The following is a 25,186-nucleotide window of genomic DNA, read 5'->3' on the forward strand; positions in this document are numbered from 1 at the left end:
GGAGTTCTTTATCACACAGATCACCGCGCTTGGTTAGGCCTGGCCCTCACTCTGATGTCAGACATGACACCTCTTGGTCAAGCTGGGACCAGTAGAGTGATTAGTTTCGTTGGTGTACATCTGTTCCACTTCCTTCAATTCCCTGTTTCTGATTATTTTTTTCTGCATCTTCCTAAGATGCATTTTTTTTTCTTTTTTTTCCGAGACAGAGTCTTGCTCCTATCGCCCAGACTGGAGTGCAGTGGTGTGATCTCGGCTCACTGCAACCTCCACCTCCCAGGTTCAAGTGATTCTCCTGCCTCAGCCTCCTGAGTAGTTGGGATTACAGGTGTGCACCACCATGCCCAGCTAATTTTTGTATTTTTAGTAGAGACGGAGTTTCACCATGTTGGCCAGACTGGTCTCAAACTCCTGATGGTAAGTGATCCGCCTACCTCGGCCTCCCAAAATGCTAGAATTAGAGGCATGCACCACTGTGCCCAACCCTAAAATGCATTTTCTATTATTTATTCTCCATGACTTTGTTAATTTCCCCTTCTCTTTTTATATGTTATTGTCTATATGATACTGGCTAAATTTCGAGATGATCATTTGGAAATGTCAGCATTATCTATACATCATTTTTGGACAATATGTTCAAACACAATTATAGTAGGGTTTATCTATTACTTTATACATGTTGCTTAGAAAAAATGCATATTAGGAATTTCTCAAGTAATTTTAAATTTTAAAGGCAACCAGATCTTAGCACTTCTGTTTTAAAATAAACAACAGTAAATAATTGTATTTCATTGTGATACCAGAAGATCTTCTAAAATGTTTGTATATTTGATATGTATACATAGCATATATATGCCATGTATATTTATTTGCCACATATATACTAAAAAGTCATATACATTTATGTATTTGCCACACTCACTTGTATGTGTATGTGTATGTGTATGTGTGTGGTTGTGTGTGTATTTGTCACTTCCCTCATTTGTCATTTGCCTCTTAACTATAAATGGCATACTTGGGTTACCATTGTTTATAGTGCTTATCTTATTTAACTGATCAGTATTTTCTTTACCAGCTTGCCTTTACATGTCAGAAAAAGAGTTACCATAAACTTTAGGTTCCAGGGATCCTCACTTATATGGGCCATTTTCAAGGCTCTGGAAGGAGTCCTAGTCATGTGTTATTCTGGTCATAAATCTTCCAAAAGTCAGATACTTTAACAACATTCAGTTTCTTTTCACTTTTACTTCCGGTCCATTACACTGAACTTCATGTTAAATGACATCAGAGACTAAAGGCAGTTAGAGGTCTAACTAAGGGAAATTGAACTTAAGATACATTTAGTTTAGTAGTATGCATGTATGTAGTTTGCTCTCATTTCTGAGTACAATTTAGTTCTTTCTAGCTATGTCTCTGTAGCAATGACTTCCAGGAATAACAATATGCTGGAAATATACAGACCTGGGAGCTAGTCTGCAAAATTATAAGCACAGGGTTTGGTTTTCATCAATACCTAGCCATAACAGAAATTTTCTCCTGTTAATGCACAAAAATAATTCCAACTTGATAATGCAATATATATAATTTTGTATATGTCCATACAATAAAAGTATGTGCTGTGTATTTCAATATGTCAGTAGAAACAATTCTGACATTTAGAAGCAAAATATAGCCAAAAACCCCTCACCCAATACTGAAAACAGAATTCATTAAAATAAAGAGATAAATTTGAAATGTAAGTGGTGAATACACCATAGAATTGTTTGATTTTCCAGTTAATAAAGAGGAGTGTAACAAGCTGAAAAAAAAATACATTTTTCACTAATTTGTCAGGAAATACAAACATCAAGAAAGATAAATACAAATAATGTAAAAAAATACAACATTGCAATACCACCAAGGACAGTTTGTTCAATTAGTGTAACCAATTCAAAGAATGTCTTAAGGTTAGACTTTATAGAGGAGAACTTGAAATGCCCCAAGGTCTTCCACTTCATATATGAAGAAACTTAGAGGTTTTCCCAATTCAGCAACAACACTAAAAATTTACATGATATTATCTATTATGAGTTGTGAAGCTGTAAGAAAGGTTTCCAGTCTATCAATTTAAAGAACGTGATTTGATGAACCACGACAAAAAGGACTGGTGTATATTTTTATTTTTCTCTTTAGAAAATTATATTACAAAATCATTGTCATAGGAGGAAGCAAAATACAGCCCAAAAAAGTAGAAAAAAATATTGTAGAGTATGTTAATAAAAATGCTATGTTATTTTTCTGGGATTTTGTGATGTCAATGGTATTTATCAGCTTTGTTTTCTCATTCTAAGCAGATATCCAGTTTTGTTTCTAATTTTGCATTTACGTTTTTACATTACTTCATTTAATGAAAGTTCTAAAATTGATTAAGCTTGGTTCCCACAAAATCTGTATCCAACCCTTGTTTGAGGCTTAGAGAATTCTTGATTATAAACATAATTCATTTTCTGTATTCAAAATATTTAATCTTGAAGCTAGGTGCAGTGGCTCATGGCTGTAATCCCAGCATTTCGGGAGGCCAAGGTAGGAGGATTGCTTGAGGCTGGGAGTTCAAGACCAGCCTGGGCAAAGCAGGGAGAATCTGTCTCTACGAAAAATTTAAAAAATTAGCCAAGCATGGCGGCATCTGCCTGCAGTTCCAGCTACTTGGGAGGCTGAGGAAAGAGGATCATCTGAGCCCAGGAGGTTGAGGCTGTGGCAAGCTGTGATTGCGCCACTGCGCTCCAACCTGGGCGAAAAAAAAAAAAAAGAAGAAGAAAGAAAGAGAAAGAAATATTTAATCTATCTGGAATTTATTTTAGATTATGGTATAGGGTGGAAAATTTGTCCTACTTTTTCAAAGCAGGCCAACTGTTCCAGCACCATTGTTAAGTAATATATTTTCTCATTGTTAATAAAAGTCACTTTAGCATAAATTCTTAAGTATGCTTGAAATCCTCCTAGGATTTTTGTTTTGTTTCATTGTTCTATCTATTCCAGTACCATTGTTTTAATTGGTTATATTTTGATAATATATTTTGAAAACCATTAGTGCAAATGTCTTCTCATTCTTAGTTTTCAAAAATTTAATTATTGCAGTATGTTTATTTTTCTAGTTGAAATTTGAAATCACTGTTACATGTTTTTTAAAAAAAAACTCATTAAAATTCTGACAACTTATAATTAATTTAGCAGAACTGACATCTTAACAATACTAAGTCTTATCTGCAGCGTCGTTTTTTTGTAGTTGTCTATGTCCCTCGGAAAATGTTAATACTGTCTAATGGATTTTAGGCATTCCTAATTAAGTATATGTCTAGGCAGTTGATATTAGTTGTTAGAAAACTGTTTTAAAATTAACGTCTGTATGATTTGTAAATGGCCATTTTACTGAACTTGCCTATTTAAAGAAATCAGCTGCAAACATTGATACTTCTTTATTTGTGTATTTTGAAACTTATTTAGCTTTTCCCATGATATTGGCCAAGATTCACAAAATAGTGTAACTGTTTACACCAAGTATTTATGATTTCCAATGGAATACCTCTGAGAGAGAAACAGAGAGGTCCATTTTGATATGTATGTATTTATCGATGTATATATGAAATGTTGAAGGAATATTCTTTCTAGTTTCCTTAAATACTCTGTCAAACATGGTTGTTAAACTAAATTAGGTGCTTTTGGAAGATATCTATTGATACTGTCTTTTTAAAAATCATTTGTATCTATTACATTAATAGATTTCTTTATACTTCTTGATTCCAAGAATAAACTCTAGTACGGGGATAATTTATTGCTCTTTTAATACGTCTGGGTTGGTGATTTTATTTAGGATTTTTTAATTCTCTATAATCATAAGTGAAATTTAGCTATAGTTTTCTTTCATTGTGATAATTTTATCAGGTTTTGGTATGAGGTTAAAATAAACTGGGAAGATTTCCATCTTTATTCTCTGGGACATTTTAAATTGCAAAAGAAATCTATAATTTCAGAGTCTAAAATAACATCCATAAAATCATCTGGTTTTGGCAAATTTGAAGGGATAATTATCATCTTTTTCAATTTTATTCATGGTGGATCTTCTACATTTTGAGCCAATTTTGGTTATTTATATATTCCAGGCAGACAATCTATTTCATCAAGATATTCTCACTCAGTTGCATAAAGTTTTATGGAGAAGTAGCTCCCAATGTTTTGTTCTTGCCTCCTATCAGTTAAAAATGCTTGAGTAGGCACCCCAATTTACTTATTTAATAATTGCATGTATTTACTACTAGACTAGTGGATTACATAAAGTATAAAACACTCTTGTAAATAGAAGAATTTTAAAGATAAGATAAAGATGAAATAAACTATTTAAAAATAATTTATATTTAGTTCAATCATGAAATAAAAAACTTGTTGCTTCTCTAAAATAGTCTTAATATTAATATTTTAGTAAGAATTATGTCATTAAATAGGTTTTATTTTTTTTAAATCTTGGTTTAATAATTTGTGACATAGTGATCAAAGATATTTTTCTAAATTCAATTTATTTTGGTATTCGTTTTAAAAAGTTACCCTAGCTCTAAAGATACCTCACAAATACACATAGGTCCAAATTGGAAAAAGTAAGTGCATCATTGTCAGTCTTACTAAGTCATCATGTGCATTCTTTTCAGTCCCATTTACTAATCATGTAGATAATGGTTGAAATATTAAAAAATATTTGCTTTTCCTGATGTCAGTCAGAAGCTGTTGAATTTTTAAATTTTTAACAAATGAGTTTAAATACCACTGGGACTGTACACAGGTTACAAAGCAGGTTATATATTTTGTGGTCCTGTTTTTAGAGTAGGCAGATTTAAGAAATTTTGTAAGTGACAAACATCGTTTTCAGCAACAAAAATCACATAATGATGGGAACATTTCCAATTATTCTCAAAATGCTGTCTCCATTGCAGAAGTTTGTTTAAAAAGCCAATTATTTTCTATTCCCTTGTAAAAGCATATCACTTTTACCTTTGAGTGGCAGTTTGTGCTAATATTTTTTCAGTGTTGGCTGGGTTGATACAACTGACAGCCATTTACCTTCACAGAAATGATCAGTTAATTTGGGACACTTGTCTGTCTATAAAGGACATATACATAACTCACCAATAGCTTAAATCAGTAAACAAATTAAAATAGCTTAAAATTTTTCTTCAAATTTAAATCCCAGACATCCTGCAAGAGGAAATGAAATTCTATGTATTCTTCATTGATTTTTTTAGATGGCCATCTCATAACTGTTATCAAAAAATTACAAGTTTGCAAAGATGTAATTTGTGGAATATGGTAACCACAGACATTAAAAAAATAAAACTTAAATCCCATCATACTCAGTGACATTCCAATACCATAGCAATTTGACACCCACACTGTCCATTCTTAAAAATATATGTATCAGATTTTATCTAACAATGGGAAATTGTACTTTATCCCTTTTTCTTCCCGGACTTTTATTCCTATTCCACTTCAAGCCCCCATTCCCAAGAATGTATTTAGTATATATTTATTTTTGAAACTCTGTTAATCATCAATATTTTCTATGATAAAAATATGCATATAAATTGAAAGATTAATTTTTTAATTACCTGTGAACACAAGGCTCTAAGTGTTAATTGCCTTTCAGAGAGAGCTATCATTGCGACTGTTAGTAGTACATAATTAGTCAAAACAACGTAACTACATTATAGATTTTCACAGATAATCATCAAACAACAATTTTTAAATTATCAAAAAGAAAGCTCTTAATGAGATTAATGGGGTCAGGTTATTTTCATTTGCCCCTAGATAAATATTGTTCATGATTTGAGTGAGACGGGGCTCACATCAATTCTGTTCATATATTTTATGTTTCTAGATGTACGCCCTGAGAAACCTTGTTCATATAAATAGACAGAAATGGAAATTCTGTTGCTGCTCAATGTGTTTACCCACTTCTGGGTTATTTGCTGAGAAGTTACCAACTGATGAAATTAGTTCTAATAATCTATCTTTTGACAATTCTAATTCATTCTTCAATTGTGACAAAAGAAAAGAATTAATGTGCTCCCCAGTGGTTAGAGTTTGTTCACTTAGGCTTCCTTGAGATTTATCAAAGGATTATTATATGAGTCAGCCTTTTCCGTGTAACCAACCAACAAAATCTCAGTGGCATGTAAGAAAAAAAGCAGTTATTTTTCTCCCTAGCAAGTATGCAGGTGAACTGGGGCAAACCTGGGTTCGGCTGCAAGTCAGTGCCAGCCTGTTCCGTGTGTCTCATTCTGGGGTCCAGGATGAAGTCGCAGTGGCTCCCTGAGGCATACACTCCTTGTGTCGGGGTCAAAACACACAGTACATCTTAAAGCCTACACTTCTTAGAATGAGCACATGGTCACTGGCCAAAGAAAGTCAGAGAGCATGCCCAGCATCAATGGGCCGATGAATATTCTTACCATGGATGTGTGAGATGGGGGAGTGAATGTTTGCGGAATAATCTAATATAACATACCCATTAGCTATTATTCTTGTTGTATATATTGTTTTGCTTTGAATCTAGTTTTCACTTAGCAATAACTTGTTCAAATCAATATATGAAAAAGAATTGGCAGATTAAGAAGAGATATGAGAAAGGTTTTTGAGATGCTAGTAGTGTTTCTTTATGTTTTTACCTGTGTGGTGGATATGCACGTGAGTTCACCGAGTGATAATTCAGTGAACTGTACATTCATAACCTATGGACTCTTTCTGTATGTTATACTCCAAATAAAAGCTTATTCTTAAAAAGGAGTTGAGAAAATCAAATTACTTTTTATATCAAAAATTTTCTAATGGAATATATTTATAATGATCCCTTTTATCTTATTAAATGCTTTAAATATGTATTTTTATGTATTTACAACTAATAATGGAACCAATTTATTGAAAGCTATAGCTTTAGAGCATTCAATTTATGGAAAATGTCTGCTATGAAACCTAATTAGCAAAGCTATTTCTCATTTTGAAATCTATCAACTAATAGAGATTTAGTTTGCATCAGAAAATCACTCACTGCATTTTTCAAATCAAATAAGTGTCAATATTGATTTACAAGTATTATAAATAACATGTACATAAACATGTTAATATTTCAAGGAATGTGATGAAAACACTGCAAAATAAATTATGGAGCACATTTTGCAACAGAGTTTACTAAAGGTGATTAAGATTAAAATTGTGTAGATTCAATATAATGAAATCATCCACTTTACAAGTTAAAAAGCAAGAGTAAATCTATACACTGTTTCTTATACCTTAATTTCTAAAAATAAAATGTAATATATAGATAAAGTGATGTTATGAAGGGAGGAATGTGATAAAAACATGATGTTTATTATATGTGTGTGCATCTTATGTATTGAATTTTGGTATTTGGCTTTTTGGAACAGTTAACTAAAAATCATATTTACAAATCCAAAAATTGCTTCCTTAATTTTGTTTGCATTATTAGCAAACATTTTCTGTAATCAATGAAAGGTTCTATACACTGCTAAAAAATAACTATTCTAGCAGCTATTACATAACATAAAATATTTAATAATAGGTGGAAAATGTAAACAATTTAGAAAATGAACAAGATATTTTTAAGATCTGACTTGATAAAATATATGTTAACCAATAATTGAATAATACATTCCAAATCTAAAAAAAAAATTGCTATCATTTGAAACATTTGGACCCCAGTTACTTTTAAAGCAAATGGTATCACCAATCTCCACTGCTTGTTCCTTGAAGATGTTTTTCTTCCCAGTCAATGTCACATCCTTGGGAGGAGAATTGAAAGTAGCTGAAGAAAACTGCTTACATTTAAATGAGAAAAAAAGACAGTCATTTTTGGCATCAGTGTGTTTTACCAATGCTCCCTTTGCTTTGCGGGTGCAAACTCTCCCTTGGAGAGCAATGCACTTTTTGCCAATCCTTTTGAGAAGTAAAAGAAGAGGTGGTAAAAGATAACTGTCATTCCTTCCCCTCTCGGAAATGTCAGGTTTCAGGATGATCCACCAAGGGCAAAAGACTCTGCTTCCAATACACCTCTATATCTTTAAAAAGAAATATGTAGAAGAGAGTGAAATACTAGAAAACTTGTGGACTTTTATTGATCCGTGGATTAATTATAAAAGGAAGGCTCCAAGAAAACAATATTTTCAGAAGTCCCTTGGTTTGGTTCTCTGGCGGCACCTCACATTAAGGGGCCAGATACCACTATGGTAAAATCTCGGAGCGGTGAGAGGTAAATCTTTCATGATGATCAGTGATGCTGTTCACTGAACCTTTCCAGGCTCTCTGTCTGCCAGGCTCTGTGGGGCCAAGGGAATGCATTGTAAAGAGAAACAGTGACATTCTGGAGTGGATGGTTTCCCACAACATCCTGACAAATTCAACTTTCTTTTTTAAAATGGGAAAAGTTTTACTTTGAAAGATGAGCTAAGGAAAAAGAGAGCCCACTTTATAGAAGGGAAGAGTATATACCAAAGTTGTGCCGTGTATATTGAGACCTTTAAACTACCCACATTGTATACCTTTTTAGAGTCTCTATTTAGCCCAGTTTGAAGATCATTTGTCCAGGGGGAAAAACATTCTTTTAAATAGTTTGACAAAACACAGCTAGGGAATCTCCATGGAAAATATATTCATGTATTCATGATAATTCCTCATCTCATTTCAGGAAATTGTAAACATTCTTTTTCTTTCTTTCATTCTTTTTTTTTTTTTTTTTTTTTTTTTTTTGAGATGGAGTCTCGCTCTGTGGCCCAGGCTGGAGTGCAGTGGTGTGATCTTGGCTCACTGCAACCTCTGCCTCCTGGCTTCAAGCAATTCTCCTGCCTCAGCTTCCCAGGTAGCTAGGATTACAGGTGTGTGCCACCATGCCTGCCTAATTTTAAACATTCTATTATTTTAAATAATTTATTCTGCACTCTATTTAGCTAAGTATATGTGTCCCAACAAACTAAAGAACCAAAAGCATAAACACCAACTCCTTAGGATAGTGAAACCCTCCCCTTCCCTCCTCTACCAAGGAGAACACAGGCCTGACCTAGGAACTGAGCAGGGGTCCACTGTGAAACAGTAGTTGCAGTATCTGGACAGATTATTTTCCATTTTTAAAATAATAACAACATAAAAATAAGTGTCCCAATATTTTATTTGCATACCATTCTGGCATAGATCATCCCTTAGGATACATCAACATCATTTCAGAAAAAAAAACTGAGAGAATACTGTCTTCTACATTCCTATTAAATTTCCTTTTAATCTGTGGTTCAACATTATCGTTCCTAATTTTAGGTCTTTATGGTTTCGTTTTGGTTTTCTTAATCAAACTTGGTAGATTTTTTTTTTTTTTTTTTTTTTGAGACGGAGTCTCACTCTGTCGCCAGGCCGGAGTGCGGTGGCGTGATCTCGGCTCACTGCAACCTCCGCCTCTGGGGTTCAAGTGATTCTCCTTCCTCAGCCTCCTGAGTAGCTGGGACTACAGGCATGTACCACCACACCCAGCTAATTTTTGTGTTTTTAGTAGAGACAGGGTTTCTCCATGTTGGCCAGGATGGTCTCAATCTCTTAACCTCGTGATCCGCCCACCTTGCCTCCCAAAGTGCTGGGATTACAGGCATGAGCCACCATCCCCGGCCCTTGGTAAATATTTATTAATTTTATTGGACTGTGTAAGTAATAGTCTTTTGTATTTATCACTTTTTCTATCCTTCTAATTTATTATTACACTTTTACACCTAATAATTATTTCCTCTTCCTTTTCTTAGATTTATTTTCATGTGATATCAGCTTCTTGAGTTAAACACTAGGTTTTTTTTTTTTTTGGTTAAGGTATAATTGACAAATACATATTGTATATATTATATTTATGGTGTACAATGTAAGTAATGTTTTGATATATAAGTACATTGTGAAATGTTTAAATCAATCTATTGAATATATCCAATAGTTATTTTTTGTGGTGAGAATAAAGATCTACTCTCTTAGCAATATTTAAATATACAATACACTTTTATTAACTATAGTCACCATGCTATACAATACTAGATCTCGCAAACTTTTATTTTTTTAAGTGAAGGCATGTTTATTAAGTAAGTAAAGGAATAAAATAATGACTACTTCATAGGCAGGGCAGTCCTGAGGGCTACTGGTTGCCCATTTTTGTGGTTAATGCTTGATGATATACTAAACAAGCAGCAGATTATTCATGCCTTCCCTTTTCAGACAATATAGGATAACTTCCTGATGCTGCCACGGCATTTGTAAACTTAGACCTCCCAAGTTTATTCATCCTGCCCAATTGAAACTTTGTATCCTTTGACCAACATCTTAAAATGATTTTCTTTCTCAGAATATAGCTTTTGTTATATTGATAAGAAATGTTTTCCTTATGCCGATGTCTGAATATATTAATAATGTTTAAATCCGTAACAGCATATTTGATTCCTTTTTTGACTTAAGTCTTATTTAGGAGGATGTCTTGATATTTTCAAATAGTTGGATTTGGGGAAGAAAGAACAGTTTTGGAGTGTTTTTTCCAATTTAAAATCTTTGATTGCATTTATAGCATTGTGGTCTTAAAAAATTTTCTATACCACTTCTGCTTTGGGAAGTGTATTACAATTTCTCTCTGAAAAATTTTCCTCTGAAATAGGCTGTCATGGGTTCTCTGGATGGGTCCTGGTTTCCGAATTTAATCTCTAGTTCTTCCTCACTAGCCTTAAGAGTGGCATAATTCTTAACAACAACAACTCATAACCAACATCACATTAGCTTCACTATGATTTATTGAGGCCACTCTCAAAGAAAAGGTCCATTCTGGAAGGCAGTGAAGATAACAAAATTCACAGTACCACAGTCAGCAATGGTGTGGGCTCTTTTGCTTCTTGGAGCAGGACAAGTCAGCCCCTGGATTCCTTGCTGGCCGCCCCGGCTGACAAACCTAGAACAACAGCGGCACAGACATCCTCCCTGTGCGTGCCCGGCTGTTCCGTTTTGCTTCAAAGCCGGTGGGGGACGGAGGGGCGGTAAAATATTGGTAACTCGTGTGATAGAACTGATGGTACTAGTCAGCCATCTCACCCACCTCCTAAAGGCGCCTGCCCAGCTGTAACTGCCGCTGAGTGACCTGGCCTTGGAGGGGGCACATTCCACAACGCATGTTCTCAAATGGATGTTCTGGAAACATAGGACCTCTCCAAAAACGCCTGCTCAAAAACGTTGGAAACTAATGATAAAAACCGTCGTTTTATTTTATTTTTATTTTGCACCCGCAGGATGGACATCTTTTTGAGGCATGCCCTATCTGGTATGCAGCTGGAGGGAAAGCGCATTGGCTCACAGGCTCAGGGCTTCTCTCTGACAGATCAGAGCTGGTGGCCCGATGTGCATAACCGATGTAAATAATCAGTGATTCTGCAGGTGCCAGGAAAGTAGGTCTCTCCAAGGAACGAAGTTTTTCTTCATGTCCATTAACCATCAGTACTAATTTTACTATTCGATCTTTCACATTCATGTTTCTGTTACTGCCTGCTTGATGTTTTGCTTGGCTCAACTCAAAGACTGAGTTGATGAGGATTTTATTTTAATTACTACAGTAATAAGCTCATTGTAAAAGTTAAATAAGAGATGATAGAAAATTTTAACATCTTTGCCCAGGCAGCCCCCTCCAGTTCTTTCCTCCTGAAGTATTAACTTAATGTTGTCTTTTAACAGATACATACAAACGAATATTGAGGTTTTTTTTTAAAAAAAGGAATCATGCTATAGATATGAATTCCGTAATTTTCTCTGAAGGTGAATTTTTCTAATTTTTAAATGTGTATATTTCAAGCAATGCTACTTGGCATATAACAGTTTATGACTTTCAAAGTTTTATTATACCAGTAGAGAATAATCTATTTGGGTCCCATTTTATCTTTATCATCTTAAACCGATGTTTTCAAAAACTGTTTTGTTGTGATATAATTTACATATCATAAAACTCAACTGTGTTAAGTGTACAATTTAATAAATTTTACTATATTTACGGAGTTGTGCAACCATCAACAGAATCCAATTTTAAAACATTTCCATCATCCTAAGAAGAAACTTCACACCATCACTCTCCATTCCATCGTCAGCCATAGACAATGAGTAATGCAGTTTCTGTCTCTTATTATCTGCCTTTTTCCTTTGGACATTTCATATAAATGAGCTCATACAACATGTATGCTTGGCTTCTTTCACTGAGCACAATATTTTTGAAATATGTCCACCTTGTAGCATTTATCAGTACTTCCTTTTTTCTTGCCAACCAGCATTCCTTAAATTAAGTTTCACCTGGCATATTTTACTCATTTTTACATTTTTACACATAATACATCATGATGTTTTAGGTGCTTTATAAATGGCAAAAGATTAGAATTTGTATTTAACCACTTAACCACTGAAAGTGTGAATAAAATTTCACAGGAATTCTGAGGAGAGTGAGATCAGGCAATGCTTCAGCCAAGGGGCATCATCTGATCGTCAAGGAAAGGCAGAGTTTGAATAAGAAGAGACTCCACTGAGGGGTGGAAGGAGATGGAGCCTATTTCATTTATTTATTTATTTTATTTTATTTTATTGTTTTTGGCCGGCAGGGGATGAAGTTTTGCTCTTGTTGCCCAGGCTGGAGTGCAATGACGCCATCTTGGCTCACTGCAACCTCTGCCTCTCAGGTTCAAGCGATTCTCCTGCCTCAGCCACCCAAGTAGCTGAGATTACAGGTGTGCACCACCACGCCTGGCTAATGTTTGTATTTTTAGTAGAGACGGGGTTTCACCACATTGGTCAGGCTGGTCTTGAACTCCTGACCTTAGGTGATCTGCCCGCCTCAGCCTCCCAAAGTGCTGGGATTACAGGCGTGAGCGACTGTGCCCGACTGAAGATGGAGGCTATTACAACATGAGACACTGGGCCAAACATTGAGTCCGAGCCAGCAGATCTTTTATTTAGGAGGCAAATGAAGATTGAAAGAAGACCAAGCTGAAAGTGGATAACTAGTTGTGTGACCCAAGAAAGTTCTCCAGTCAGGGTCTCCATTTCTCACCTGTGAAATCCAGTGTTAAGTTCTCATCATCTCTAAGTTTCCTTCTGGTTCTAAAATTCTGTAGAGGTTGGAAGAAAATATGATAGTATTTTAAGTCATTAAAGAAATCTGTAGTCATAGTTTCATTTTTACAGCATATTGTTGGTCATATTCCTTGCTTTATTTAACATCAAGTTTTTGGGAATGCAATAGCTAATTATAACACTAGAATTATAAAAAACAGGATTTATTTACAGCAATATTTTTGACAGGAGCTCTTAGAAGGCCTTGTATAATAAAACAGAAATTTTATACATTAGTAATGTGTACAGTAGAAATTTGAAAGCTATACTAGGAGGAAGAAAACTGTTAGATATGTCTATAAAACAAGAATTAAAGACTCTAGGAAACTGTACTTATAAATAGCAGAAAAAATAAGAATATTTTTAAAATAAAATGATTCACTAAATGTAAAAATGCGAGCTATTACAGAAAGAAGAATGAAGGAAGGAAATGAAACTTCCATCAAAATTTATCTAATGGTTTGGTTATACTGAAAATAAGGAAGTTTTAAAGCGTGGTAATCATCTATAGTTTTGTCTGAATAAGAATAAAATCAGAAAGACATGAAACTTTGAACTTGCACTGAAGAAGAACAGGTCTTCTTGCATGCATAATGATTGAATAGTCTTCCCTAACTGCAGTAGTCTATAAAACCATAAATCATTATTATTTAGTACAAATAAAAGTATTTTATGGTCTGATATTTCTAAGAGTGCAATTTAAATCTACATGTATCTTTTTTTTTTTTCATTTTTAATATGAGACAGTGGTCTCACCGTGCTGCCCAGGTGATCTCGAACTCCTAAACCCAAGGGATCCTCACACCTCAGCCTCCCAAGTAGCTGAGATTACAGACATGCATCACCATGCTTGGCCCTAATTCTACATTTAAATTTAAGTGCAGAGCATTCGTGGCTTAGCTAAAGTAGCAGTCATCCCCAAGATTTGCTCCAGAGATTATATCTAGGTGTATAAAATATTGGCCAGGTGCAGTGGCTCACTCCTATAATCCCGACACTTTGGGAGGCCTATGCAGGAGGATCACTTGAGACCAGGATGTGAAACCAGCCTGGAACACGTAGCCAGGTCCTGCCTCTACAAAAAAATTAAAAATAAAAAGTAGCCAGATATAGTGGCACGTGCTTGTAGTCCCGCTACTCAGGAGCTGAAGCAGGAGGATCGCTTGAGCCCGAGATCTCAAGGCTGCAGTGAGCTGTGATCACACCACTATACTCCAGCCTGGGTGACAGATCAAGACTCCATCTTTAAAAAAGAAACTAATAGATAAATAAATTAGTTAATTAAATCAATCTAAATTAAATTAAAATATTGCCAAGTCCACATGTACATTAGTGGAAAAAACAACAATTACTTATGCATCAACATAATATAAAATATGATGTATTTTACATGTTCTCGCATTCTCTCCTGAAGCATGCCTGGGAAGTCTGTTGTTAAACATGTTGTCATTTCACATTAAAATGTAGGTTATTGATTTTTCTTGTTTCTTCCCACACTGTCATTGACCCATATCCTGTAAGACAGCAAAAGAGCTTTGACATCAAAAGATGGGTAAGGATAATAGAAAATCACTAATGTTTGGAAATTCTGTGCTGAAAAAGTGGATTGACCAACATGTAATTGGTTAATGGATAAATTCCTGGACTGGATAAGCTAGCATTTTATTCTGACACAAGTAAAACATTACACAAAGGAGGTAGATTCATTTTTTAAAAGTCAGACATAGTTTTCCTATCCTAAAGCTTATTTGCGTCCGCTGCAGACAAGTACAGGTAATTGCCTCCAGGTGTTTTCCTGCAGGAAGTCATTGAAATTCAGTGCTGGTAATGGCAGTTTTCTGAGCAGCAAAAACTAACCTACAGGAACCTCAGAGGCACAGGTATATTTTAGAATAGCAATGTCAGCCTTCTGAAAGGCCATAGATTCAGAATGGCCATTTTAACAGGATACAGATTAAATAAAACAAGAATGAAGCTATGTTTTTTAACAATAAAAAAATTAACATTAAGAAAAATGTTTTTCTTTTGCTTTTAAAAAATTTTAAACATTATTTGTTTTTCTTAAATTTTTGGTCATTGATGGTAACTGCCTAGCAATCATTTTTTCTCCCAGACAAAATAGGAATTACAAGAACAATTACATTTTTCTTAAAGTTCTGTTTTTATGAAAGCTCACATTCAAAAATAACTTATTATTAAACAATAACCCAGGTATTTTTTCCACTGCAAATAGATACTCTGGGATATTTAATTAAAGATGGCAGATTAGCCATTAACATTTAGCTCAATGCTACAGTTCAAATAACAATAATTTTTTTTAAAGGCATAGCTTACAAAGATAAAATAAACAAGAATGGAGACAACAGCAACAGAAATTTGGAAGCTGGGAGAAGATCTGAGAAAGTTGGATTCTCAGCCAACTGCAGAGAGAGCTGAGAAGCAGACTGATTTTTTTTGTTTTGTTTTGTTTTTAATTTCAAATACAGATCCAACAATGGGCATCCTCAAATATCTCTGGAAGTTCTGTTGCAAGGAGAGTTGCTGAAGAAGCAGCTGGACCTTCTCATCTCCTCCCCACTTCATGCAACAGGTAACTAACCATCTTAGCAGAAGATCTAAGAGATTAATTTCCTGCAGACAGACACACAGAGGGTTCGAACTAAAAAGAGGGGAGTTGAGCTTACACACTAAATGCAAAAACCCTTCATATTTCTTAACCTTTTCTAGGCTGGAATACCGTTTGCTAAGTACACACACTCTTGTGAGTGCATACACACGCATACACAGACACATATGCCCTAGGCAGACAACTAGAAGTCTTCTCCAGGGCATTTGACAAGCGCAATAGAAAAGATCTGAAAATACTGCCAATGAGGGCTCCACTAGGAAGAGCAAAGGCAGGCCATGATACAGTGAAGTCCCTGGTCAATAACTAGTCACACACTCCTCCTCCAATCGGCATTTTTTTTTTTTGAGACCCAGTCTGCTCTGTTGCCCAGGCTGAAGTGCAGTGGTGCGATCTCAGCTCACTGCAACCTCCGTCTCTCGGATCCAAGCAATTCTCCTGTCTCAGTCTCCGAAGTAGCTGGGACTATAGGTGTGTGCCCCCACACCCGGCTAATTTTTGTAGTTTTAGTAGGGATGGGGTTTCACCATTGGTCAGGCTGGTCTCAAACTCCTGACCCCAGGTAATCTACCCACCTTGGCCTCCCATAGTGCTGGGATTACAGGCGTGAGCCACCGCACCTGGCCTCCGATCGGCTTTTAGTGCACCCCTGCCTGGTAGGAGTAGCCACACAAGGATTACTAGGATAGGATTCTAATATGAGAGACACGGAAACAAACAATCAGGGAAAAAAGCAATGGGAGAAAACAGAAGCAGGAGGGGAGGATAACATTTGAAAATGATCCTTAATACATTCAGATAATATATTGCATGTAAAAAACAAGAAAAGCATGCTATTTTAGAAAAATAATGTTTTGAGGAATAAGAACTTTAAAATAATTAAAAATAGAATTGTGGAAGTAAAAAAATCAATAGAAGAGTTGGAAGATAAATTAGAGGAAATCTTCTAAAAGCAGAGCAAAAATAAAAAATAAGGGATAAAAGATAAGAAAAAAATGCAGGACATGTCCAGCAGGTGCAACGTCTATATGATAGGAGTTCCACAAAGAAAGAACTCAAGAAATAGAGAATAGGAAATCATCAGTGAAACAATGCAAAACTATTTCGCCCAAATGAAAGAACATGAGTTTTTAGATCAAAATAAACCACACAGATCCAGCACTAGAAATAATTTAAAAACCAGCATCAAGGCCGCCCACCTGGAAGGCCGAGGTGGGCGGATCGCAAGGTCAGGAGATGGAGACTATCCTGGCCAACACGGTGAAATCCCATCTGTTTAAAAAAAAATACAAAAAAAAAAAAAATTAACTGGGCTTAGTGGCAGGCGCCTGTAGTCCCAGCTACTCGGAAGGCTGAGGCAGGAGAATGGCATGAACCCGGGAGGCAGAGCTTGCAGTGACCCAAGATCGTGCAACTGCACTCCAGCATTAAGACACATCATTGGGAAATTTTTGAAACTCTGGGATGAAAAGAATATATTATCAGCCTCTAGAAAGAAGAGATTTTATAAGAAGAATCAAGATTCAGAGTGGCTTGACATCTCATAGTAGAAATGCTGGAAGCTAGAAGAGAATGAATTTAATGCCTTCGAAATTATGTGGAAAAATTCATTTTATTCTAGAATTCTCTATCCAGCCAATCTAGAAATTAGGCAGGAAGGTAGAATAAAGACATTCTCAGATTTCCAAGACCTCAAAATTTTTTGTTTGCTGTGGATCTTTCTTAGGAAGCCCCGGAGTATGGGACCACCCAAAATGCAGGAATAAACTCAGAAAGAAGGAAGGCATGGGATCCGGGAAATCGTGACCCACTTGAGGAATGGGAGAAGTCAACCCCAAGGATGATGGTGAAAGGGATCCCATAAAACTGCTGAGTCAGGCCTAGGGTATGACTCAGAATACAGGTCAGAAAGCTCTGGGTGAGACTTATTGGATAGGACCCAATTAATACTATATTAGGTTATTTTGAATGTGTTGAGATGACATTTACCCATCTTAGGTTGAATTACTAAGTACAGTCATGTGTTTTTTAATGACAAGGATACATTTTGAGAAATGTGTCATTAGGCCATTTTGTTCTGCTGACATCGTAGAGTATACTTGGTAGAGCCTACTACACACCTAGACTGTATGTGACAGCCTATGACTCCTAGGCTACAAACCTGGACAGCATGTCATTGTACTGAATACTGTAGGCAACTGGAACACAAGGGTAAGTATTTGTGTATCTAAACATATCTAATCATACAAAAGGTGCAGTAAGAATATGGTATAAAAGGGTTTTTTGGATTTTTTTGGGTTTTTTTGGGTTTTTTTTTAAGATGGAGTCTTGCTCTGTCGCCCAGGCTGGGGTGCAGTGATGCGATCTCGGCTCACTGCAACCTCTGCCTCCCAGGTTCAAGCGATTCTTTTGCCTCAGCCTCCTGAGTAGCTGGGATTACAGGCGTGAGCCACCACGCCCGGCTAATTTTTTGTAGTTTTAGTAGAGACGGGGTTTCACCATGTTAGCCAGGATGGTCTCCATCTCCTGACCTCGTGATCCGCTTACCTCCGCCTCCCAAAGTGCTGGGATTACAGGCGTGAGCCACCGCGCCTGGCCGATATAAAAAGTTTTAAAAATGATACACTTAGATAGAGCACTTCCCATGAATGGAGCTCACTGGACTGGAAGTTGCTCTGGGTGAGTCAGTGAATGATGGTGAGTGACCGTGAAGGCCTAGGACATCACTGTACCCTACTTCAGACCTTTATAAACACTGGACACTTAGGCTACACTAAATTTATTTTTAAAAATTTTCTTTCCACAGTAATAAATTAACCTTAGCTTACTGTAACTTTTTAACTTTATAAACGTTTTAATTTTTTTTAACTTTTTGACTCTTTTGGAGTAACACTTAGCTTAAAATACAAATACATTGTACAGCTGTACAAAATATTTTCTTTCTTTATATTCTATTCTATAAACTTTTTTCTATTTTTATTTTTTACTCTTTAAACTTTTTTGGTAAAAACTAAGACATAAACACAGACATTGGCCTTGGCCTGCACACACGCGTGATCATCAAGACCTCATTAGGTGGTAGGAATTGTTCAGCTTCATTGTAATCTGATGGGACCACTGTCGTATACGTTGTCTGTTGTTGCCTGAAATGTCATTGTGCAGTGTATGACTGTACACAGAAAGCCAAGCAAATACACAAACTAAGCAATGATGTTCTTTATGGAAGCACAAAAAGGGAAAAATAATCGCAGTGTATCGTATGGCTTCGTTGTGAATAGTGTTCTTAGTCTCAGTGATAATGTACCTCTAAACACCGACTGTTGACCCAACCAAAACTCTAATCTACGTGGGGCACAGAGGGGACAGCAATGTAACTGTGTGTGCTCAGGGACAGAGGGCGCAGCACAAAAAGAGAGCTAAAGCTCCACATTTCAGAGTGAGAAGGCAATAGATAGTCTAAAATTGAAAAGTCAAAAGTTACATTTTATTTAGAGATGCAAATGTAAGTATTAAACAATTGGTAAAAGAGTTGAAAATATTTTTGTCTAGGGAGTGGGAAACAGTGACAGCAGAGATGGCAAGAAACAGCTTTTTTTCTTAGCATGCCATAAAACAATCTGACTCTTTAAACTCTGATGAAATATTATACATTGATGTAAATGAAAAACAAAAGAAAGCATTGAGATGAAAAGATACACTCCTAAAATCTTTGGATGAGTCATTTTAGGTGATACGGCCAAGGTGATAACTTATCTGATGATGATTATACCTTTCTATTTGTTAATTCATTCATAGGGTTGTGTGAATAAACATTTATTGAATGATTATCACATGCAAAGTTCCATGAGAAAGGTAAATATGAAAGGAATACACCATGATTTTCTTCCTTATGTTGCTTGCAAGTGAATATGACATATATTTAAAATATGTTTGATGTGTTTATATGAATAAATAAAAAAGAACTAGGGCAGACAGAAAGGACAGTACATACATATGACAGTATAAAAGAAAAAAGATCTAGAAGTCTGCTTGTTGAATATGGAAATTTGAATTGAGGCTTGAAGGAGGAGGTAGACCAGATAGCTGGGACCAACATGAGAAAAACTATGAAAATAGGAAGTGTCTCAGCATGACTGGATGGTTGCAATTCTTTAATTATAATGAAGAACAAAGAATAAGAATGTTAACTCCAAGAGAGCAGGCATCTTGTGTGCCTTGTTCACCATTCCCAATACTAGAACATTGCCTGGCATATAACGATACTCAGTAAACATTTGCCCCATAAATGGATGGGTAAGATTGTAAAGATAGTTAGAGGTTGATAACAGAGGGCTTTGAATTCCATGTTAAATTTAGAATTTAGACTGTAAGTAAATAGGAAAATATTTGAGGAGAAGATCATGATGGCTCTAATTTTGACAGCTGAGTTTAGGACAGGTTGGAAGCATGCGAGGTGTCGGGTCAGTTAGGAAGAAATGAAAAATAAAGGCCTGAGTTTTATCCATTAACCACTAAATTAGAAAGGAAGAAACAGACCACTTACTGCAGAAGCAAGCCATGATTTTATGGAAATGTAGTAAATTTGAAGTCAGAAAAAATTGAGTTAAATCCTGTCTTTGTCATGTAATGGGTGTGGAGATCTGGACAAGTCCTAGGACATCTCCTAGGAACATCAATTTCCTCAGTAAAATCAGGAATAGTTTTTGCAAATACTTCACCTGTTGTCTAAAGGGTATCGGGTAGCTCTCAAGGATATGTCAATATGTTAAGGCAGGATAAATTGACATGAGGATAAAAGAAGAGAGAAGTGCAAGAGAGACATAACACATAGCCAGGAGTGGAGCTAAAAATCCACCATAACACACAAAGTCATGTGAAAGCATTTTGGAAAATGAAGAGTTAGACAAACGTTCGATGTGGTTGACCTATGACATTTCCGATGTAGTGGAAGCTTGAAAGACATTACTACTGCGTCAGAGGAAAGGGCATTACGTTGATGCAGAGAGAATGGGGGCTATTACAGATTAAACTTTTAAGAAGTTTGGAGGTCAAGAGACAACTGAAAAGGCAACTAAAATCTAAAAAGGTGAAGTTCGTGATTACCTTTTATATCCTCAAAGTATTTGATGAAAATATTCACCAATCTTTGAAGTAGAACCAACCAAACCACAATTCTTTAACCTAGAGTGGACTTTAGTGAGCTAGTCTAACGCAGACACTTTGCAGGTAGGAAGTAAAACCCAATGAGGTGTCAATGTTAGCAGTAGAAGGTACCACTTATCTATATTTCTCAACAGGAACAAAACAAACAAACACATTTTAAAAACCCTAGATACAATAATCAATAGACTATGGATCTCATTTGCCTGGAAGGACGGTTCATGGATAACATGTAGAGTTGATTATTAATTAATGAATAAGGGAGACTTAAGGGAAGGAAAGGCTGTATGTATAAGATAGAATTGTGTGTTCTAAACAGTTTAGATCAGAAAATGGAAACCTAGAAAAAGTGAAACGATAGCACTTAAAGGGACAGGCATAATTGATTAACTAATTGGGAGTATGACAATTTTATTTTATTTTTTATTTTTTTGAGACAGGGTCTCACTCTGTCACCCAGGCTGGAGTGCAGTGGCGTGATCACAGCTCACTGCAGCCTTGACCTCCCTGGGCTCAGGTGATTTTTTTCACCTCAGCCTCCCGGGTAGCTGGGACTACAGATACCTCTGGCTAATTTTTGTATTTTTTGTAGAGATGAGGTTTCACCATGTTGCCCAGGCTGGTCTCCAACTCCTGGGCTCAAGCAATCCACTCACCTTGGCTTCCCAAAGTGCCGGGATTACATGCCCAAGCCACCACGCCCAGTCTGCGAATTTTACATGAGTCTTGTGGATCACTTCATGAAGTGCCCCTAGAAAAGGTACAATTCACCTAGATCTTTGAGAGAATGGCTTAGAGCATTTGGATGAGCAAAGAGGAGGAAAGCAAGCATTCTGTGCAACGATGTTGACTGAAACAGAAGTATGTAGAAAGGAAGCACCAAACTTACTGCAAGAACAGTGAGTGGACCCATTTAGCTGGAGTGAAGGCTTTGTTTAGGGAAGTAAGTAAACATAATGTTTTGAGGTGATCGCTTCCACCATATCGAGGTTTAAAGACCAGCTAGGGAATGTGTATCTTGTAGTTAGAGGGAAGCGACTCGGTTTCTTCAGTGAGGGAGTTACATGATGACAGCATTCCTTTTAGGAGATAATTAGGGTGGTGTGCCTGATTCAGAGAAGCTAGGAATGTTTGGACTCTAGCCCTATCTTTTCCAAGTTGATGTCATGGTAGACAACTGCATTCTCTCCCCAGACACTCTTAGATGTTAATATTGGCAACACTGGAAGAATCTGTTGAGCAGTTTTTATGAAATGTAATACGAGATGTACTTGCTTTTCACCTTCAGCAATTTTTTCAAAGAAGAGTGAGGAAAAGTTTGAAAATATGTCACATTGGACCTCTACATTTTATGGTCATAATAATAAAAATCCCACATTTTCTAAATGAAATAAAGCAATGAGTTAGAGTTGAGAAAATAGGAAGGCCTTGGTTAAGGCAAAAACAGAGGGATTATAAAAATGTTTTGGGGAAATGATGTCAGAATTGTAGGTTATGGATGGTTGTAAAGAGATAATTCTGATTTTAATCAGTTAGATCATCTATATTCAAGAAGCCAGGTAGTCAGGGCAATATAAACTAGAGGAAAAAGAGAGTGTGTAGTAGTTTTCATCCAGTGAAATCAAAGCCATTGGAACTATTAATATTAATAGAAGTAATTGTAAGTGAATTTAGAAGGGTAGATATCCAAGTCACCATCTTCATGGCATCTAGAAAAATCTTGTCCTGGGTTTAACATAAGTCATTCTCTTCAAATTAAAAAGCAAAGAAGAAAAAAGAAAATAGAGTAGAATGGCGAGTAGTTATGAGTATGTAAATAAATGCTTGCTTAAAAAGAAATCCAATTACTAATCAGTAAAAAACAAAAGGAGGATATAATGAAGAGACATAGAAGAATAAGATAAAGGAGACATTACACATAGTAGAAAGATATAAAGGAAAGGAGCTATTTAGATACTCACAGAAGCAGATTCTTCCAGATTACTTAAAAAGCACTCATTGCTCTTTTGCAAAGTATCCCTAAGGAGTAGGTTATTATCACCCCATTTTACAGATGGGGACACTGTCAAATGTCATTTGGTACTTCAGCACATTAAACTTAGGTTGCTAATTAGCAATGTATTTGAGATGGAATTTGGCAGTGGTAAGAAACATTAATATTTCTTTGTTTTCAGGACCTTCAGTGTAACTTAGAAGAACCATTTCTTTGACTTATATGCTATAGAACTGGTCAATATTGCATGATGACTTCTCAAAATTACCATTGATTTAGGTTTCCAGGAAAAATCAAGCATGCTTCAAGGAGATTTTAGTAGCAAGAAATCCGTATTATTTGACACCTGCTATTATTTCCTCAGCATCCCAGAATTTCTCATTTAAGTACTGCCCAATATTATTCTGGCTTTCTTTGCATTTGTGAATACAGAAACAAAATGTTTTGTTGTAATTTATTGCAGAATGGCAGTTTGGCCTTTGGGGAATATGAATCATGGGTCACTGTCATAAAACAACTTATGTTTGGAAACTTTTTTGAATAATAGTTGGTTTGGGACAAGTCTTTTTTTCCCCCTTACTAAGAAATTAGGAGCTTTCTTAATAAGAAATAACATTAGAGTTTTCAATTTTAAATTGTGTGAATTTGTTTTAATTGTATGAAAATGGATACAAGATAATCAGTTGCTCAGACTAGATACCAAAAGGAATGGTTATTAAGACAGTAGAAAAATATTTTTGAAGAACATTCATAGGATAGCCATCCTGCTCCCCCAAATCAAACCTGAGGCAATAGAAAACTATGCTTTTAGAATAATAAAAATAGCAGAAAACTCCTGTGAGAGAATGTCTGATTTACCTTTCTGGAAATCACTATTTTGTTCCAGATGGGTGGACTATGGAACTTTCTGAGAGAACATGGTTACAAAACTGTTGTGTGATCAAAGCTCTGGAGGGAGGGACTGTTTTGACTCTCTTGTTACTATGTGAGGGATGGAATTTTGCAACCAGAAGGTTCCACAACAGTTGGAAACGACAGTTGTGTGAGTAGCAAGCCGAAGACAAATGTGTGTGTCCTGTTACTCCTGCTCTGAGAACTACACACTGCCGCCGTGCCAAGATTTCCTGCTTGCATCAATATTTTTTATAATTACCAAACCTCATGTGCATAACCCATTAGTAGCAAAAAAAAATCTTACAAGTAACATCTACACTGTCTTTAGGTTAGACAGCCATCTGGCTAGCTGATATGCACTACACACACACACACACACACACATATGCACACACACAGATACCCTTATTTAGATGCCTTATTATAATGCTAGTTCCATTTTCAATCATCTACCATAAATCAAGCTCTACCTCCTTTTGCAGAAATTAAAACAGCTGAAATTTAAAAAGCGCTTAGAACATGTTAAAGCTCACCATAGGCTATTGTCATCCTGTTATTAGCGGCTTACTCTTATCTTCCGTTCTCTGGCTCATCTCTCTCACTTGTGAAATCATGTCCCTTTCATTTTCCTTAGCTTCCAGAAAGTCCATTTTATCAATTGCCCTTTCTCCAACTTTTCCCAAGTTGGACTTTGACTCTAGACTCGTGGGTTCCTTTGTATTGATGTCCACAGACATTTTGGTACAATAGGAACTGCCATGAAAAGGAGATGCCAATACATTCAAAACTGTAAATTTAATCGTGTGCTTTCAAAAACAAAATAGTACGGAATGGTATAGCAGAAAGTTTAGGGAAGGGAAAAATGAGTGGTTTAAGTGTTGTTTACCAGAAACAATTCATCTGCAAAATTTGATCCCATGAACAGGCATCTGGAGAAAGCTTCTTATGTTGGCAACATACTTACAGAGTCAGAAGCTGGTGAGTTTGAGATCTGGTAAGGTTTGGGGAAACAGATGTTAATGTAGGAGGTAGATATTGGGAATTGAGATGTGTTTGCAAAAAAAGAGGTACTTGTAAAGCTAGTGGTGGTGAAGTTGTGGTGTTGGCAGTTTATTAACAAGAAGGAAAGGTTACTTGTAATCAATGATTTAGATGGGAAATTTGAAATGCTTTAGGATTGTGTGGAATACTGTCCTGTAGTCTGGTCCATGTGCCCAGTATACCCAACTGCTGATGCTGAAATCCCATAAATATAGACATATAAATACAGCCCTTATTAAAATATATGTACATATATAAATATATAATACAGGTGTCTGCATATATGT

At 35.9% G+C, this 25,186-nt stretch overlaps 1 long non-coding RNA gene across 1 annotated transcript, besides 1 other annotated feature; it reads right to left on the reverse strand.

The window, feature by feature from the left end:
- Window positions 1,115–1,344: an enhancer, noted in NCBI's record as "active region_24000". NCBI's record gives its function as "activates an Ori minimal core promoter by ATAC-STARR-seq in GM12878 lymphoblastoid cells {active_cell/tissue: GM12878}" and the evidence as "EXISTENCE:reporter gene assay evidence [ECO:0000049][PMID:35858748]".
- On the reverse strand, window positions 13,004–23,905 carry LOC101928253 (uncharacterized). Its single transcript, NR_125853.1, has 3 exons — window positions 23,823–23,905; window positions 14,576–14,699; window positions 13,004–13,181 (listed from the first exon to the last, which is right to left on the reverse strand). It is a non-coding gene; the product is annotated as an uncharacterized LOC101928253 (long non-coding RNA).
- Window positions 23,906–25,186: the final 1,281 nt, after the last annotated feature.

Source organism: Homo sapiens, chromosome 6 (assembly GCF_000001405.40).
Source record: "Homo sapiens chromosome 6, GRCh38.p14 Primary Assembly".
In the NCBI taxonomy this organism is placed as follows: Eukaryota; Metazoa; Chordata; class Mammalia; order Primates; family Hominidae; genus Homo; species Homo sapiens.